A 16,590-nucleotide genomic window follows, 5' to 3' on the forward strand; every position below is an offset into this window, starting at 1 on the left:
GGACCTGCATCACCTCTGCTCTGCAGGTGAAAAAAGTTCACGTCACACTAAAAGTTGGCGGAGCCAGGATTTGAACCCGGGCCAGTGGAACTCCAGCGTGTGAATTTCCTCCCTCCAAATATCAGGGCCTCCCACCTCTTGGGGAGTCCCCTGGCCTCATGGTGGGTCTGGGAGAACTGGGGCACCCTGGAAGGGGCATCTAAGCACCAGGGCTGCTGTGAGTTGAGTGCCTCAGGGGGTTGTGGGGGCTGGACCCTGTACAGCTCAGAGGCAGTGGCCCCCTGGCCCAGTCTGAGCCACCTCTGGTTCACAGTGGACAGCCCTCATTTATGGAGAGCTGTGTGGTAACAAATATCAGTAAATCACATCACAGTGTGACAGCCCCACTCTCAGGGAGCTCAGCATGCCAGGGATGTCCCCAAGTCTTCCTTTTGGGTTGAGGGATGATATGGCTTGGCTCTGTGTCCCCACCCAAATCTCATATTGAATTTTAATCCCCAGGTTTGGGGGTGGGACCTGGTGAGAGGTGTTTGAATCATGGGGATAGATTTCCCCTTTGCTGTTCTCATGATAATGAGTGAGTTTCCATGAGATCTGGTTGTTTAAAAGTGTGTAGCCCTGGCCAGGAATGGTGGTTCACACCTGTAATCCCAGCACTTTGGGAGGCCAAGGTAGGCGGATCACAAGATCAGGAGTTTGAGACCAGCCTGGCCAAAATAGTGAAACGACCTCTCTATAAAAAGTACAAAAATTAGCCAGGAGTGGTGACATGCCTGTAGTCCCAGCTACTCGGGAGGCTGAGGCAGGAGGATTGCTTGAACCTGGGAGGCGGAGGTTGCAGTGAGCTGAGATTGCACCATTGCACTCCAGCCTGGGTGACAGAGTGAAACTCTGTCTAAAAAAAAAAAAAGGTGTACCCCTTCCTTCTTTGCTCTCTCTCCTGCTGCCATGTGAATATGTGCTTACTTCCCCTTCACCCTTCCACCATGATTGTACATTTCCTGAGGCCTCCCCCACCATGCCTCTTGTACAGCCTGTGGAATGGTGAGTCAATTAAATCTCTTTTCTTTATAAATTATCTAGTCTCAGGTAGTTCTTTATAGCAGTGTGAGAATGGCACTAAAATTGATACCAGACGAGTGGGCCATTGTTATAAAGATACCTGAAAATGTGGAAGCGACTTTGGAACTGAGTATTAAGCAGAGGTTGGAATAGTTTGGAGGTCCCAGAAGAAAACAGGAAGATGTGGGAAAATTTGGAACTTCCTAGAGATTTGTTGAATGGTTGTGACCAAAATGCAGATAGTGATATGGACAGTAAAGTCTAAGCTGAGGTGGTCTCAGATGGAGAGGAGGAACTTACTGGAATTGGAAAGATCACTCTTGCTGTGCTTTAGCAAAGAGACTGGCAGCATCGTGTCCCTGCTCTAGGAATCTGTGGAACTTTGAGCTTGAGAGAGATGATTTAGGGTATCTGGCAGAAGAAGTTTCCAAGCAGCAAAGCATTCAAGAGGTGACCTAGCTGCTTCTAACTGCATATGCTCATATGTGTTCACAAAGAGATGGTCTGAAATTGAAACTTGTACTTAAAAGGGAAGCAGAACATAAAAGTTAGGAAAATTTGCAGCCTGACCATGTGGTAGAAAAGAAAACCCATTTTTTGGTGTGTGTGTAGGGGAGATTCAAGGCTGTAGAAATTTGCTTAAGTAAAGAGGAGCTGAATGTTAATAGTCAAGATAATGGGGAAAATGCCTCCAGGACATGTCAGAGACCTTTGCACAGCCCCTCCCATCATAGGCCTGGAGGCCTAGGAGAGAAAAATGGTTTTGTGGGCCAGGCCCAGAGCCCTGGTGCCTTGGGACATGATGCCCTGCATCCAGCTGCTCTAGCTCCAGCTGTGGCTAAAAGGCGCCAATGTACAGCTTGGGCCATTGCTTCAGTGGGTGCAAACCCCAAGCCTTGGCAGCTTTCACGTGGTGCTGGGCTTGTGGGTGCGCAGAGGGCAAGAGTTGAGGCTTGGGAGCCTCCACTTAGATTTCAGAGGATGTATGGAACACCTGGATGTCCAGAGAGAAGTCTTCTGGAGGGGTGGAGCCCTCATGGAGAACTTCTACTATAGTAGTGCGGAGGGGAAATGTGGGGTTGTAGCCCCCACACAGAGTCCCCACTAGTGCACTGCCTAGTGGAGCTGTGAGAAGAGGGCCACTGTCCTCCTGACCCCAAAATGGTAGATCCACCAACAGCTTTCACTGTGTGCCTGGAAAGCCATAGGCACTCAACACCAGCTTGTGAAAGCAGCTGTTGGGCCTGTACTCTGCAGAGCCACAGGGGTGGTGCTGCCCAAAGCCTTGGGAACCTACTTCTTGTGTCATCGTGGCCTGGATGTGATACATGGAGTCAAAGGAGATTATTTTGGAACTTTAAGATTTAATGACTGCCCAGCTGGGTTTTGGACTTGTGTGGGGTCTGTAGCCCCTTTATTTTGGCCAATTTCTCCCCTTTGGAATGGGAGCATTTACCCAATGCCTGTACCTCCATTGTATCATGGAAGTAACTAACTTGTTTTGATTTACAGGCTCATAGGCAGAAGGGACTTGCCTTGTCTCAGATGAGACTTTGGATTTGGACTTTTGAGCTAATGCTGGAATGAGTTAAGACTTTGGGAGACTGTTGGAAAGGCATAATTGGTTTTGAAATGTGAGAAAGACATAAGATTTGGGAGGGGCCAGGGATGGAATCATATGTTTTGGCTCTGTGTCTCCATTCAAATCTCATGTTGAATTGTAATCCCCAATGTTGGGGGAGGGACCTGGTGGGAGGTGATCGAATCATGAGGGCGGATTTCTCCCTCCCTATTCTTGTGATAGTGGGTAAGTTCTCATGAGCTCTCGTTGTTTAAAAGTGTGTGGCATTCTCCCCTTCTGTCTCTCTCCTGCTGGCCATGTGAAGATGTGATTGCTTCCCCTTTGCCTTCTGCCATGATTCCTGAGGTTAATGTTCCTGAGGCCTCCCCAGCCATGCTTCCTGTACAGCCTGTGGAACCAGGAGCCAATTAAACCTCTTTTCTTTATAAATTACCCAGTCTTGGGTAGTTCTTTATAGCAGTGTGAGAATGAACTAATACAAGGGACATTTGTCACCTCCTGGCTTTTCCTCAAGTGAGGGGTGCCCATATATAGAAGCCCTCTTCACAGGCATAGACCTCTGGGTTCTTATCACAGACCTGCTTCCCCTGGAAGGCCTCTCCTGAATATCAGAGAAGACCCCTCAGGGTCAGAAGTCCCAGATGTGCTGTGGTGGGTGGGGGTTGCTTCTCACCGTAGATGACCCTCTTGTCCACAAACCACAACCATCTTCTTCCCTCTGTGCTGATTAGGACTGGGGCAGTGGGGTTCGTGTATTTGTGACCTGGCTCCTTTTTTGATCCCCACTGAACTGGGACATCCCCAGGGGCAAGGGCTGTCTGCCTCATCAGGCAGAGCTGTCCGTGTGATCAGCCCAGGAGCTTTCTGTCACCCTGGTCCCTCCCGGACATCAGTTTGGCTCAAGAAGAAGAAAGTCCATTTGTCAAAGCATTCTGTCCCCTGGGAGCAGGGCAGTGGCCACAGACTCAATTCCTGACCATTCACCAGGCCGGATAGTCCAAGCCCCTGGAATGGTGCCAGCATGGGGCTTGGGTCTGCTGCCTCCCTGGGCTGGATCCCTACCTCCAATCTGGTTTTCCTTGGGGATGGGGAGGAACCCTAAGCATGGCAATGAGGTTATTTCCCAGGACCCAAGTCCTCTTCCCAGGGTTGGCCTGCCCCATCCTGCCCCTTGGGGGTTTGGCACTTGTCACTCTTCTTTGCATGGCCAAGCTAAGGACAGAATTAGCTCTCCACGCTCACTCTCAAGGCTCTCTGAGTGCTAAACCATCTGGGAGAGGGACCAGAATGGGGCCTCCTGGGATTCTGCCCAGTGCTTTTTCTTTTGGTTCCTCTGGGAAAAGATCCAGAAAAAGACTGAAAGCTCCTGGCTGAGAGGGAGGGGGTGGGGTGGGACCAGGCCCTGCCCTTCTGAGCCCCTGGGGCTCTGGGACGCCAGGGTCCCACTCTGCTAACACAGCGATTGGTTCTCAATGCAACTGGGGAGGGCTGGCGGGGCTTGCAACTCCCAGAGTCCAATCAGACTTTAGGGATCCTTGTTGCACTCCTTTGGGAAGTCAAGGCAGAAGGGTTGCTTAAGCCAGGAATTCCAGACTAGCCTGGGCAACATAGCGAGACCCTATCTTTACAAAAAAATGATGAAGTGAGCCAGGCGTGGTGGCACATGCCTGTAATCTCAGCTACTCGAGAGGCTGAGGTGGGAGGATTGCTTGAGCCTGGGAGGTGGAGGCTGCAGTGGCCATGATCGGGCCACTGCACTCCAGCCTGGGCAACAGAGTGAGGACCTAAATAAGTTTAGCGTGAGATGAACACTGACAGTTGCCTCTTTAGGGCTCTGCTTAGCACCTCCTGTGCCCTCCCAAAAGTCACTGTGTCCTTGGGCTTGCAGTTGGAAGCCATACAGCTGCTTCCCTCTGTCCTCAACCTATATTTTAATTTTTGCTCATGATGTCTTCTTCCCTGGCATGGCAGAGCCTGGTTCAGAACTAACGACTACTCCTCCACGCGGGATTGTATTTCCTGCTATGTTAATAGCGGCTCCACCACGTGCCCTGTTCCAGCTAATGAAATGTGAGCAGAAGTGACAGTGTTGTTTCCAGGTGGAAACTTCAAGAGCCAGTGCACAGTTCACCAGGTATGTCTACCCTGTGCCATAAGACATCCTCCCTGAGGCCCCCTGGTCAGCCTGAGTTTCAGAGCGAAGATGACACGGAGCACACCTGTAGCCATTCTTGAAGGACTAGTAGCAGTAATAAGGCAGAAACCTTCATTGTTGGAAGCCACTGAGATTTGGGCGTCACATTCTGGCTGCGCCACATCAAGGCTGTTGGAAGTCTCCAGAGCGGTCTCGGAGTTGTGTTTTTTTGGTCTTCAGCTGCTGCCAAGTGGCATGGATAATGAAGAGTTAAAATGTTATGCCTGGGGACTGACCTCCATTCTAGGTACTCATTCAAGAGTGGCTACAGGCCGGGCGTGGTAGCTCATTCCAGTAATCCCAGCACTTTGGGAGGCTGAGGGAGGAGGATTGCTTGAGCCTAGGGGTTCAAGACCAGCCTGGACAACATAGCAAGACCTCTGTCTTTACGAAAAATAAAAAGAAAACAGTTGGGCGTGGTGGCATGCACCTGTAGTCCCAGCAACTCCGGAGGCTGAGGTGGAGGATTGTTTGAGCCCAGGAGGTTGAGGCTGCAGTGAGCCGTGATTGTGCCATTCCACTCCACACTCCAGCCTGGGTGACAGAGCAAGTTCCCATGTTTAAAAAAAAAAAAAAGAGAAGAAGAAAAAAAGCATGGCTATAATCGTGACTTGGCATTTCTGCACATAGACCAGACTGATGATCACCTGAGCTATGTCTAATATTCTCTAAGCTGGGAGGTTTCAGCCTGAGGTTTGCATGTAGGTTAAGACTTTATGTAACTCTTGGGGAAGCTTCTGGGTTGGGTCAGAGGGCTGTGACCTCCTTCACCTCCCGGGGACCTTGCCTGCTCCCCTCCTGCCACCCTGGCACTCATCTGCAAGAGCTGTGTGGAATGGAGTTTACTTGCTATGAAATGACATGGCCCACTTTCTTCCCCACTGCCCAAGGTGAGGTTTATTAAGCTTGTGGCAGCAGGGAGCGTGCACCCTGGAGGAAGCAGGGGGCATCTCTACTAGGTCATTTTGGCCGTGACTTTGCCCCATTGATGGAACCAGGGCCGATCTCTTCTGCCACTCCAGACCTCCCCCTGCCCCTGTGATCAAATGGGACTCGGTCTGTAGCACCCCTCGGCACTGGCCTTATGGTGAGGAGTTGTCACTGTGTTTCCGGTGACTTGTGATCCTTTCCTACCCAGATTATTGGCTTCTTGTACTAGTGGTTCTTCTCAGCAACGTTCCCCTCTCTGCACCACACACACCCTAGGTAGACAGTGGGTGCTCCATAAACACTGGTTTTGCTCTCCTGAGTTGGTGGCCTGGAGGCTGGTGGTGCCATGGCAGGACAGAGGGCATCTCTAGCTGTGGCCAGCTGTTTGCAGACTGTTTCATAAAGGTCACACCAAGGAGACAAAGCGGCTTCAACCCATGGCTGCTGGGAGGGGCCTGGTGGAGCTGGCGAGGAACCCAGCACCCCTCTCTGCCCCTAGGCCTGGGCTCCACTTTCTCTCCTGATTTCGGCCCCCTTCTCTCCACCCTTGGCAGTTGGGGACCTTGAACTGACCAGTTCTCTCTCAAAGGATGGAGTTTTATGGTTGGGACTGGCTCCCTCCCAACTGCCCACGGAAGATTTGAACAAAGGAAATCACAAAAGCCATCTCTCTTTATTTTTCATTCCTGCCGTTCAACCAGTTTGTGCAAGCTGAGGATGAGTGGGTTTTGGAACGGGAGGCAGAGCATCTGGGGACAGACCCTCCTGGAAATGGTCTATGCACACTGCTGAGGCTGGTTAGACTTGAGAAGCAATTGACAATAAACTCTACAGAACTGGAAATGTTCAAAAGTGTCAAGGTGGCTTCTGGCTGTTTTCCTGCCTCCCTGTGGGGGTCAGTTATACCCATCAGTCCTGTGCAAAGGTCCTGGGACTGGCCCAGGGGCAGCCGGATTCTTCGCTGGGGACAGGAGCTGTCCTGCTCACCCAGCAGAAGCATGCCAATGGACAGGTGCTCGGGTGTGTGCCCAGGTGCTGTGGCCCCCAAACTCCGTGGCTCCTCAAGCATGTCTTCATCCTGTCTCTATGTCCGCCCTTTGAAAGTGTTCATGCAGGTGTAGGTTCCTGAGAATTTGTGGATCTCCTCGAGTGCAGCCTGTGGAAGTATGCTGGAGTAGGAGGAAGAAAAGAAGATAGCGATGGTTAGTGGGGCAGGATCCAGGGGCTGGGTCGCTGGTGGCCATGTGAGACGGGGCAGCAGAGGGCTGGTTCCTGAAAGTGCTCCCCACACCTCCAAGCCACACACCAGTTTCTCCCCAAACCCCCACCCTCCCCAGGGGAAGAGCTTTCAAATAAGTGGATAAGCAGCTGTTAAAAGGGCAGGGGGAGGCTGGGCGCGGTGGCTCATGTCTATAATCCAAGTACTTTGGGAGGCCGAGATGGGCGGATCGCTTGAGCCCAGGAATTCAAGACCAGCCTGGGCAATATGGTGAAACCCTGTCTCTACAAAAATATACAAAAATTAGCTGGGCATGGTGGCATGTGCCTATAGTCCTAGCTACTGGGGAGGCTGAGGTGGGAGGATGGCTTGAACCCAAGAGGTGGAGGTTGAAGTGAGCTGAGATTGTACCGCTGCATTCCAGCCTGGGTGGCAGAGCCAGACCCTGTCTCAAAAATTCTTTTCAGACTGGGCGTGGTGGCTCATGCCTGTAATCCCAGCACTTTGGGAGGCCAAGGTGGGTGGATCACCTCAGGAGTTCGAGAACAGCCTAGCCAACATGGCAAAACCCTGTCTTTACTAAAAATACAAAAATTAGCTGGGCGTGGTGGTGGGCACCTGTAATCCCAGCTACTCGGGAGACTGAGGCAGGAGAATTGCTTGACCTGGGAGGCGGAGGTTTCGGTGGGCCGAGATCGCGCCGTTGCACTCCAGCCTGGGCGACAAGAGTAAAACTCTGTCCCCTCTCTCTCTCTCTCACACACACACACACACACACACACACACACTCTTTTTAAAATATATATTTTAAAAAGGCAGAGAGTGAGTGAGTGGTCAGAGCAAACTTTTTTTTTAATTTAAAATTTTTATCTTTTTCCTAGATCCTGAAACAGAGCTCATTTTTTTATTTTTAATTTTTGTGGGTACATAGTAGGTATATATATTTATGGGGTACATGAAATACTTTGATACAGGCATGCAAATGTATAATAATCACATCAGCATAAATGGGGTATCCATCACCTCAAGCATTTATCTGTTGTGTTACAAACAATCCAACTATACTCTTTTAGTTTTTTTATTTATTTTTATGTTTATTATATTTTTTTGAGACAGAGTCTCACTCTGTTGCCCAGGCTGGAGTGCAGTGGTGCGATCTGGGGTCACTGCAACCTCTGCTTCCTGGGTTCAAGTGATTTTCCTGCCTGAGCCTCCTGAGAAGCTGGAATTACAGGCATGCGCCACCATGCCCGCCTAATTTCTGTATTTTTAGTAGAGACAGGGTTTCGCCATGTTGGCCAGGCTGGTCTTGAACTCCTGACCTCAGGTGATCTGCCTGCCTCGGCCTTCCAAAGTGCTGGGATTATAGGCGTGAGCCACTGCGCCCGGCCCTTTTAGTTATTTTTAATCGTACAATTAAATTATTATTAACTATAGTCACCCTGCTGTGCTATCAAAGACTTGTTCTTATTCGGTCTATTTTTTGTACCCATTAAAAACAAATGATGGTTAGGTGCCACTAAGTAGGTGACAATGGCTTAATCTGTCTGTGCTCCTTGTCGAGGGGAGTGCTGACCTTCTCTCCCTTCATACAACACACTTTCAAAACCAGGCTCTTAGCATCTTGGTGCCCACAGGCAGCTCAGAGATCCATCGATCCCAACTGCCCCTGATTCCACAAAGATGACGGTGTGGATCTGAGGAATCAGGTTCGATTTGGGTGTCACATCCTCTGGGGAAGCGTCCTGGGCTCACCTTCAGGCTTCTCCTCGTACAACCGGAGTTCCGACGCTTCCCCAGCAAGCCCTGGTGTAGTCCCCACCCGTTTACTTGTCAAGCCTGTGGGGGCCTTCATGGCGGGTATTTCATCTCTGATCCCCAGGCCCTCACATGGGCCCGGCACAGAGAGGGCCCTCAGGCTGTTTGGTGACTCAAACTGAAGGGTCCTGGCCCACTCTAAGTACAAGATGAAAAGGGTTCACTTCCAGCTGGAGCAATCTGGAAGGCTTCCTGGGGGTGGTGGTATTAGAGTTGAGCCTTGCTTTCTCCTGGGGAAGGTGAGGAGGGATGCAGTTCAGAGAATGGGGAGCGGGGTGGCTCCTGCTTCCTGTTCAAAAGTAGTTGTGGGGAAGGTTGGAAAATGAAGGCTGAGGGCTTACTGTGGAGAGCGCTGAGGTGTTCTAGACCAACTTTTCTCTAGAAAGCTCTGGAAGTCTTCTAAGAAGCTCCCCTGAGGTGGAGGGTGGCAGCCTGACCTCAGTGAGGACCTGAGCCCCTGATCAACTAGGGGCTCCTAGAGACGGCTGAGGAGCATCTCAGACCCGAGGTCAGGATGGACTGAGGGAGGCCGAGGTGTGGCCTGGATGCCCCTGGGTGCCCCCTTCCCTGTGCCTCTGAAAGGGCTTTGAGTTTGGGGAAGAGAGGGCTGATCGGGCTTGCGCCTCAGTTTCGAGGTTTCTGTGCCCTGCATGTGTTGGGGCAGCCCCTCAGCTGGGGCTCACCATGTCCCAGCAGCCAGGGCAGAAGTTGGCTTTCCTGGGAGTGCATGTTGCATGAGAGCAGGGGCCAGCCTGGCACTTGGGGGCTTACCTTCCTGAAAAGGACTTCCAGGTCAGAGGGGCTCAGTCAGGAGGGGGCCAGAGCCCCAGGGGAGCCAAGAGCCCATGGTCACTTGTGGCACCAGGGACAAGGATCTCCTGCTGTACTAAGAGGCCCAAGAAAACTGAGTGTGGGACTGGGATGGGAAGGATTTGCTGCACAAAGCCTGGAAAGTTCTAGGGGAATAGGATGCCAGGCAAATTCTGGAGGAGGAGTCTCTCATTTATAAAGCCTGCCTCCCCAAAGTGGTCTGCCCTGCTACATCCCACCCGACTGGTACTAAGACGCTTCTGTGAATTCTGAGCCCTTGGCATCAAGATCCCCATGTTCCCTCTAATAGTAAACTTCCTGAGGGCAGGGGCTATGTCCAATAGGCTGTAGAACAGTGGTTCTCAAAGTGAGGTCCAGGAACCTTTGGGGTACCCGGGATCTCTTCAGGGGTCTGTGAGGTCAATTTTTTTTTTTTTTTTTTTTTGAGACGGAGTCTTGTTCTTGTTGCCCAGGCTGGAGTGCGGTGGTGCGATCTCGGCTCACCTCAACCTCTGCCTCCTGGGTTCCGGCAATTTTCCTGCCTCAGCCTCCCAGGTAGCTGGGATTACAGGCACACGCCACCACACCCAGCTAATTTTTTTTGTATTTTTAGTACAGACAGGGTTTCTCCATGTTGGTCAGGCTGGTCTCGAACTCCCAACCTCAGGTGATCCACCCACCTCGGCCTCCCAAAGTGCTGGGATTACAGGCGTGAGCCACCGTGCCCGGCCACATTGTTTCTGTAATAATACTAAGATGTTATTTGTCTTTTCACTTTCATTCTCTCAGTGAATGGTAGAATTTTCCAGAGGCTACGTGACACGAGATATCACAACAAATTGAAATCAGATGCACATATAAGAATCCAATTGTCTTCAATTAAGCCAAACAAAGAGATTTGCAAAAAGGTAGAACAATGCCACTCCTGACTACATTTATTTTGTTTTAGAATACATAACTAGTTGTCATAAAAATATATTTATATTAATGTAATGGGTTTGTTATAGCTATTTATAAATGAATAAATATTATAAACAAATGTATACAACTTACAACATTTTTCTGGCTTTTAATTTCTTTTTTGAGATGGAGTCTTGCTGAGTCACCCAGGCTGGAGTGCAGTGGCACGATCTCGGCTCACTGCAAGCTCCACCTCCTGGGTTCACACCATTCTCCTGCCTCAGCCTCCCGAGTAGCTAAGACTACAGGCGCCCACCACCATGCCCAGCTACTTTCTTTTTGTATTTTTAGTAGAGACAAGGTTTCGCCATTTTAGCCAGGATGGTCTCAATCTCTTGACCTCGTGATCCACCTGCCTCGGCCTCCCAAAGTGCTAGGATTACAGGCGTGAGCCACTGCGCCTGGCCCTGGCTTTTAATTTCTAATATAGTAAATAGCGATAGCTACAACTCACATTAACAAAAGCTCTTTGGGTTCCTCCATACTTTTTAAAACTCTAAGGGGCCCCGTGACTAACAAGTTTGAGAACTGCTGCCCCACAGTAAGTACAGTACATCAGCAGCAAATGTGCCAGCACTCCTCATGCTCATGCCCGCAGCAGACATGACTAATAGATCACATGCGTACTTTCCCCTGACCCAGAGTGTTCTTTCCCAGCCCCATACCTTTTCAAGATAACGAGGGCATGCATTGTCCATGGGAGGAGGAGGAGGGCCTGGTTGAGCTGCACAGCTTCCACTGTCCTCCGGGCCACCGTCTCCGGCTTCAGTGGGGGAAAGAGGTTGGGAAACCTGAACACAGGAAGAGACACAGTGGGTTTCTCCTGGAGAGGCATGTGCTTATCTGGAAGTCTTTATGAGGCTGACATGTCTGGGTCACCCTTTGGCTTTTCCTGTCTGAGAGATTCGAGGCCTGCTTGGAATACTCCCTCTACCCCACACCCATCCAGGTGCCACATTCCCTCACTCCTCCAGGCACACAGGGGTCTCTTCTTGAGTCAAGGACTTCTAGCCCACCCACTGGGGACCCACTCTCCCAAGCCCTCCAAGGGCTCCCAGTGCCCTAGGGCTTGGCCTTTCCATGGCCCTGCGTAATCTGGGCCCTGGTTGTCCTTCTGAGTCCTTTTCCCTACACTCTGCTCCTTCAGGACAGGCCCATTTCTGTTCTTGTCACATCACATGCTCGGGTCAGGGCTTTTTGCCAGCTCTCTCAACAGCCTGGCTCTCTCCTCCCAGCTCCTCCTTTGGGAGACATTTCAGGCCAGTCCATCCAAAGCGACCTCTGATCCTGTCCCCTGCTAATTTCCTTGACCGCGTTCACCCCACCTAGGAAGACCTTGCTTTTTGGGTTGTTTCCTTGTCAGTGGCCTGTCTCCGCCATCAGGCAATGAGTTCCATGAGGGTGGAGGCCTGGTCGGTCCTGCTCCCCTGCATCTAGCACAGCATCTGATACATAGTATGTGCTCAATAAATACTTGAAGGACTGAACACACTGATGACTTGCTGCTTCCCAAATGTGTCCTGCTCATTCTGTCTGGAGGCAGGGGCTTGGCTAGCGATGGCTGGGGCTCAGCTTGCTGGTTCACTAACTCACTCACTGATTCATTGATTCAAAGATTTGCACAGTGCTTTCCATGGGATCTCAAAATGAATGAATGAATGATTGCATAAGCAAACATCAGGGGCTTCTCATGACTATTTAAAAGCATCTGACCCTAGATCCAAACAATGATGATGTTCCCTACGTGCCAGACTCATGTACAAATTATTCTCCTGATTTACAGATAAGGAAACCGAGGCTGTATTGAGTCAGTAGGGCGCTAAGGATTCAAACCTGGCCAATGCTCTATCACCTTTGCTCACTGCTCTTCCTGCCCTTCCTGGATCTATAGGTGCAGGGCTCATGTTGCTGGCTCTGACCCCAATCCCACAAAGAGCTTGTGATCCGCTCTGGCACCAGGAAGATTAAGGGTGATGAATCACCCAGGTTTGATGTCATTCCTCAGCAACAGGCAGCCCTTGGACTCCCAGCAGGGGTTTGGCCTCAGAGGGTACATGAATCTTACCCCCTGCCCTGTAATTCCTTTGTCATCACAATGATGATTCTTTTTTTATTTTTTATTTTTGAGTCCAGGGTCTCACTTTGTTACCCAGGCTGGAGTGCAGTGACGTGATCACAGCTCACTGCAGCCTCGACCTCCCTGGGCTCAAGTAATCCTCCTGCCTCAGCCACCCGAGTAGCTGGGACTACAGGTGCACACACCATGCCCAGATAATTTTTATATTTTTTGTAGAGATGGGGTTTTGCCATGTTGCCCAGGCTGGCAACTCCTGGGCTGAAGTGATTCCCCTGCCTCAGCCTCCCAAAGCACTGGGATTACTGGTGTGAACCCAGCTACCACGCCTGGCCATGATGGTGATTCTGAGGCCCACAGCCCTGTGGTCAAGAGGGGCCAGCCTCTGCCATTCTACAGAGATGAACGTGTTGAGGCAGCTCACTGATACTGGAGTCCTACAGGTGTCGTGGGCGGTCTGGATTCTCTGGCTTCCACCTGTGGCCTGGCCTGTCTCTTGGGAAAGGGAAGGCAGGATGGACAGACCAAAGTCCATGGGCTTGACGGGAATCCTTCTTGGTAAGACCCCTGCCAGGGAAGCCGACAGAGGAGGCCTCAAGCACGTCTGTGCGCAGGATTTTCTCCTTCCTCTCCACGGTGTGTGGGATGGGGACACGGGGAACTGGCACAGCTATTAACTCCCATGGAAGCAGTGCAAATTCGTGGAAGAAGCATGCTTAGCTAGCCAGTTTCAAGCTATGTGGACTTGGGCAGGTAACTTTGCTTCTCTGAGCCTCAGTTCCCTCATCTGTAAAATGGGAATAAAAGCTCTCTTCCAGGGTTGCTGTGAGGGCCAAATGCAGCAGCACTTGTAAAGTGTCTAGTGGTTCTAGGTGGTTCTATGGCTGGAACATCGAAGAGGCTCAATTGGCTGGGCGTGGTGGCTCATGCCTGTAACCCCAGCACTTTGGGAGGCTGAGGCAGGTGGATCACTTGAGGCCAGGAGTTCAAGACCAGCCTGGGCAACACGGCGAAACACTGTCTCTACCAAAAATACAAAAATTAGCCGGGCATGGAGTCAGGTGCCTGTAATCCCAGCTACTCGGGAGGCTGAGACAGGAGAATTGCTTGAACCTGGGAGGCGGAGGTTGCAGTGAGCCAAGATCACATGACTGCACTCTAGCCTGGGCGACAGAGCAAGACTTTGTATCAAAAGAAAAAAAAAAAAAGAGGCTCAATAAATAGCAATTTATAAACAATAACATCCACTGACATGGCCAGTCTTGCTGGGAAACTCACTCATTTTGTCCTAAACATGTCTTCACATTTAACCCATTTAACCCTGGGAGGCTGCTAAGCATGGTTGTAGGAGGAAACCCATGCTTTTATCCATTTTTTATTCTTTTAGGAAATGGGAGTTGGTTAGGTACCCATCTTCCTTGTACTACTCTTCTGGCCGAGCCCTTGGGGCTCCCCTGCACAACCATAGGTAGCTAATGTTCACCTAGTGCTTGCTACTTGCCAGGCGTGGCCAGATGACTCACACACAGGAGCTCATCTAACCCATGAAAAGGGGATACTATTATTATTATTATTATTATTCATTTTTGAGGTGGGGTCTTGCTGTGTTGCCCAGGCTGGAGTGCAATTGTGCAATCTCAGCTCACTGCAACCTCCACCTCCCAGGTTCAAGCGATCCTCCTGCCTCAGCCTCCTGAGTAGCTGGGATTACAGGCACCCACCACCATGCCTGGCTAATTTTTGTATTTTTAGTAGAGACAGGGTTTCACCGTGTTGGCCAGGCTGGTCTTGAACTCCTGACCTCAGGTGACCTGCCCGCCTTGGCCTCCCAAAGTGCTGGGATTACAGGCGTGAGCCACCGTGCCCAGCTGGGGATACTATTATTATGAATCTCTTTTTAGAGGTGAGGAAACTGAAGCAGAGAAAAGTCAAGTAACTTGGCCAAGGTCACACAGAGCTGGGATTTGACCCCAGGCAGTTTGGGTTCACGCTCTGAAAAAATGTGGCAGGAAAACCTTGAATTTCCTTCTTAAAGTGGTAGGAAAGAAGCTATGCTAGAAGGTGAAATAGACACACAAACTCGATGTCTGCAATGTCCTGCTTGCTTCTGTGCTCAGGACACCCAATTAGAACTGCAGACTGCCGGCTGGGCGTGGTGGCTCACGCCTGTAATCCCAGCACTTTGGGAGGCCGAGGTGGACGGATCACGAGGTCAGGAGATTGAGACCATCCTGGCTAACACGGTGAAACCCTGTCTCTACCAAAAATACAAAAAATTAGCTGGGCGTGGTGGTGGGCACCTGTAGTCCCAGCTACTTGGGAGGCTGAGGCAGGAGAATGGCATGAACCCGGGAGACGGAGCTTGCAGTGAGCCGAGATGGCACCACTGCACTCCAGCCTGGGCGACAGAGCAAGATTCCGTCTTAAAAAAAAAAACAAAACAAAACTGCAGACTGCCACTGATGCACTTCTGTCCAGTATGCATTTATTGAGCACCTTCTGTATACTCAGATGAAAAGAAACCAAACCAAAACCCATGGGGGAAAAAGCCAACAGGAAACATTAGTAGCCATTAGTCTAGACTCCTCGAAATTCAGAATTGATGACAATTTGCATGCAAACCAGGTGGTCTGCTAGGAAAATTAATAACATGCATTTATGAAGATGTTTATTGTTAGGAAAAATAATAAAAGCAGCAGCTCCTTATTGAGCATCTAGTATCCGGGCTTTGCACTAGATGTGTTACATGTATTATTTCTAATTTCCTGGGCTCAAGCCATCCTCCTGCCTCAGCCTCCCAAAGTGCTGGGATTGCAGTCATGAGCCACCAAGCCCGGTATTTTTGATTCTCAACAATCAACACCGCACTGTCCCGATTAATAGTAACTAAGGCGTAATGAGTGACTCCCACGTGGCATGCACTACACTAAATTGTCTCACTGAATTCTCCTCATGACCCTTCCGTGTCATCCTCATTTTTGGAAGCAGCTGCAATATATAATCAGAAGGTGAAGCACTGTACGCTGGATTGCAAAAAACCAGGGAGAATAGTATTTGAGTAATTCCCGGTTTTCATTCATCGATGACGTCATGCCCCTACATAACTGCACATCATTAAAGCGCCATTTATTGGGCACTTAATATGTACCACACACGGTGTTCCCTGCCAGATTCCACTTTGTCCTCACTGCAGAACCTATGATGGAGACATTCGCGCACCCCATCTTGCAGATCAGCCACAGCAGTAATTAACGGGACCCAATGTCACAGAGTACATCACAGCTATGAGGGAGTCACCACCCCAGGTGGCATGAGCTCTAGACCAGTGGTCCCCGTTCCCCTTGACTTAACTGGTTTGGAGGAGGAGTGGTGGGACCTCCCTATTACTCATTTTAAATTGAGCTACGGCCAGGCGTGGTGGCTCACACCTGTCATCCCTGCACTTTGGGAGGCTGAGGTGGGTGGATCACCTGAGGTTGGGAGTTTGAGATCAGCCTGGCCGACATAGTGAAACCCCGTCTGTATTAAAAATACAAAAATTAGCTGGGTGCAAGCGCACGCCTGTAATCCCAGCTACTCGGGAGGCTGAGGCAGGAGAATCACTTGAACCCAGGAGGTGGAGGTTGCAGTGAGCCGAGATCGCGCCACTGCACTCCAGCCTGGGCAACGGAGCGAAACTCCATCTCAATAAATAACTAAATAAACAAACAAATAAATTGAGCTATAATTTGCATATAACAAAAGGTATACATCTTAAGCAGACAGTTTGATTAACTTTCACGTATTTAATGACTGCTAAGTTCAAGAAGAGAGAACATTTCTGAAGGTCTTGCTAGTTCCCTCGCCTCCCTCCCAGGTTACACCCCCAGCCCTCCAGGGGAAGCCACGGGTCTGATTTCCATCACCCTAACCCAGTTTTGCCTGTTTTGGAACTTCATACA

The 16,590-nt window shown here is 50.4% G+C and overlaps 1 protein-coding gene and 1 pseudogene across 6 annotated transcripts in view, besides 1 other annotated feature; both read right to left on the reverse strand.

The window, feature by feature from the left end:
• Window positions 1–6,422: 6,422 nt before the first annotated feature.
• Window positions 6,423–16,590, reverse strand: part of DHRS3 (dehydrogenase/reductase 3) — a 50,301-nt gene continuing 40,133 nt past the window's right edge. For all 6 annotated transcript variants that reach the window (XM_006711036.3, NM_004753.7, NM_001319225.2 and 3 more), the window contains 2 exons: window positions 11,241–11,366; window positions 6,423–6,937 (listed from right to left, as the gene is read on the reverse strand). In XM_006711036.3, coding sequence (XP_006711099.1) covers window positions 6,842–6,937; window positions 11,241–11,366 — 222 coding nt within the window. In that variant the 3' untranslated portion in view covers window positions 6,423–6,841. The remainder of the gene's footprint in view (window positions 6,938–11,240; window positions 11,367–16,590) is intronic.
• On the reverse strand, window positions 8,485–8,585 carry RNU6ATAC18P (RNA, U6atac small nuclear 18, pseudogene; annotated as a pseudogene).
• Window positions 12,394–12,688: an enhancer, noted in NCBI's record as "tiled region #5682; K562 Activating DNase matched - State 14:Gen5'". NCBI's record gives its function as "activates a minimal TATA promoter and a strong SV40 promoter by Sharpr-MPRA in K562 cells {active_cell/tissue: K562}" and the evidence as "EXISTENCE:reporter gene assay evidence [ECO:0000049][PMID:27701403]".

The sequence above is a fragment of the Homo sapiens genome, chromosome 1, assembly GCF_000001405.40.
Source record: "Homo sapiens chromosome 1, GRCh38.p14 Primary Assembly".
Lineage (NCBI taxonomy): Eukaryota > Metazoa > Chordata > Mammalia > Primates > Hominidae > Homo > Homo sapiens.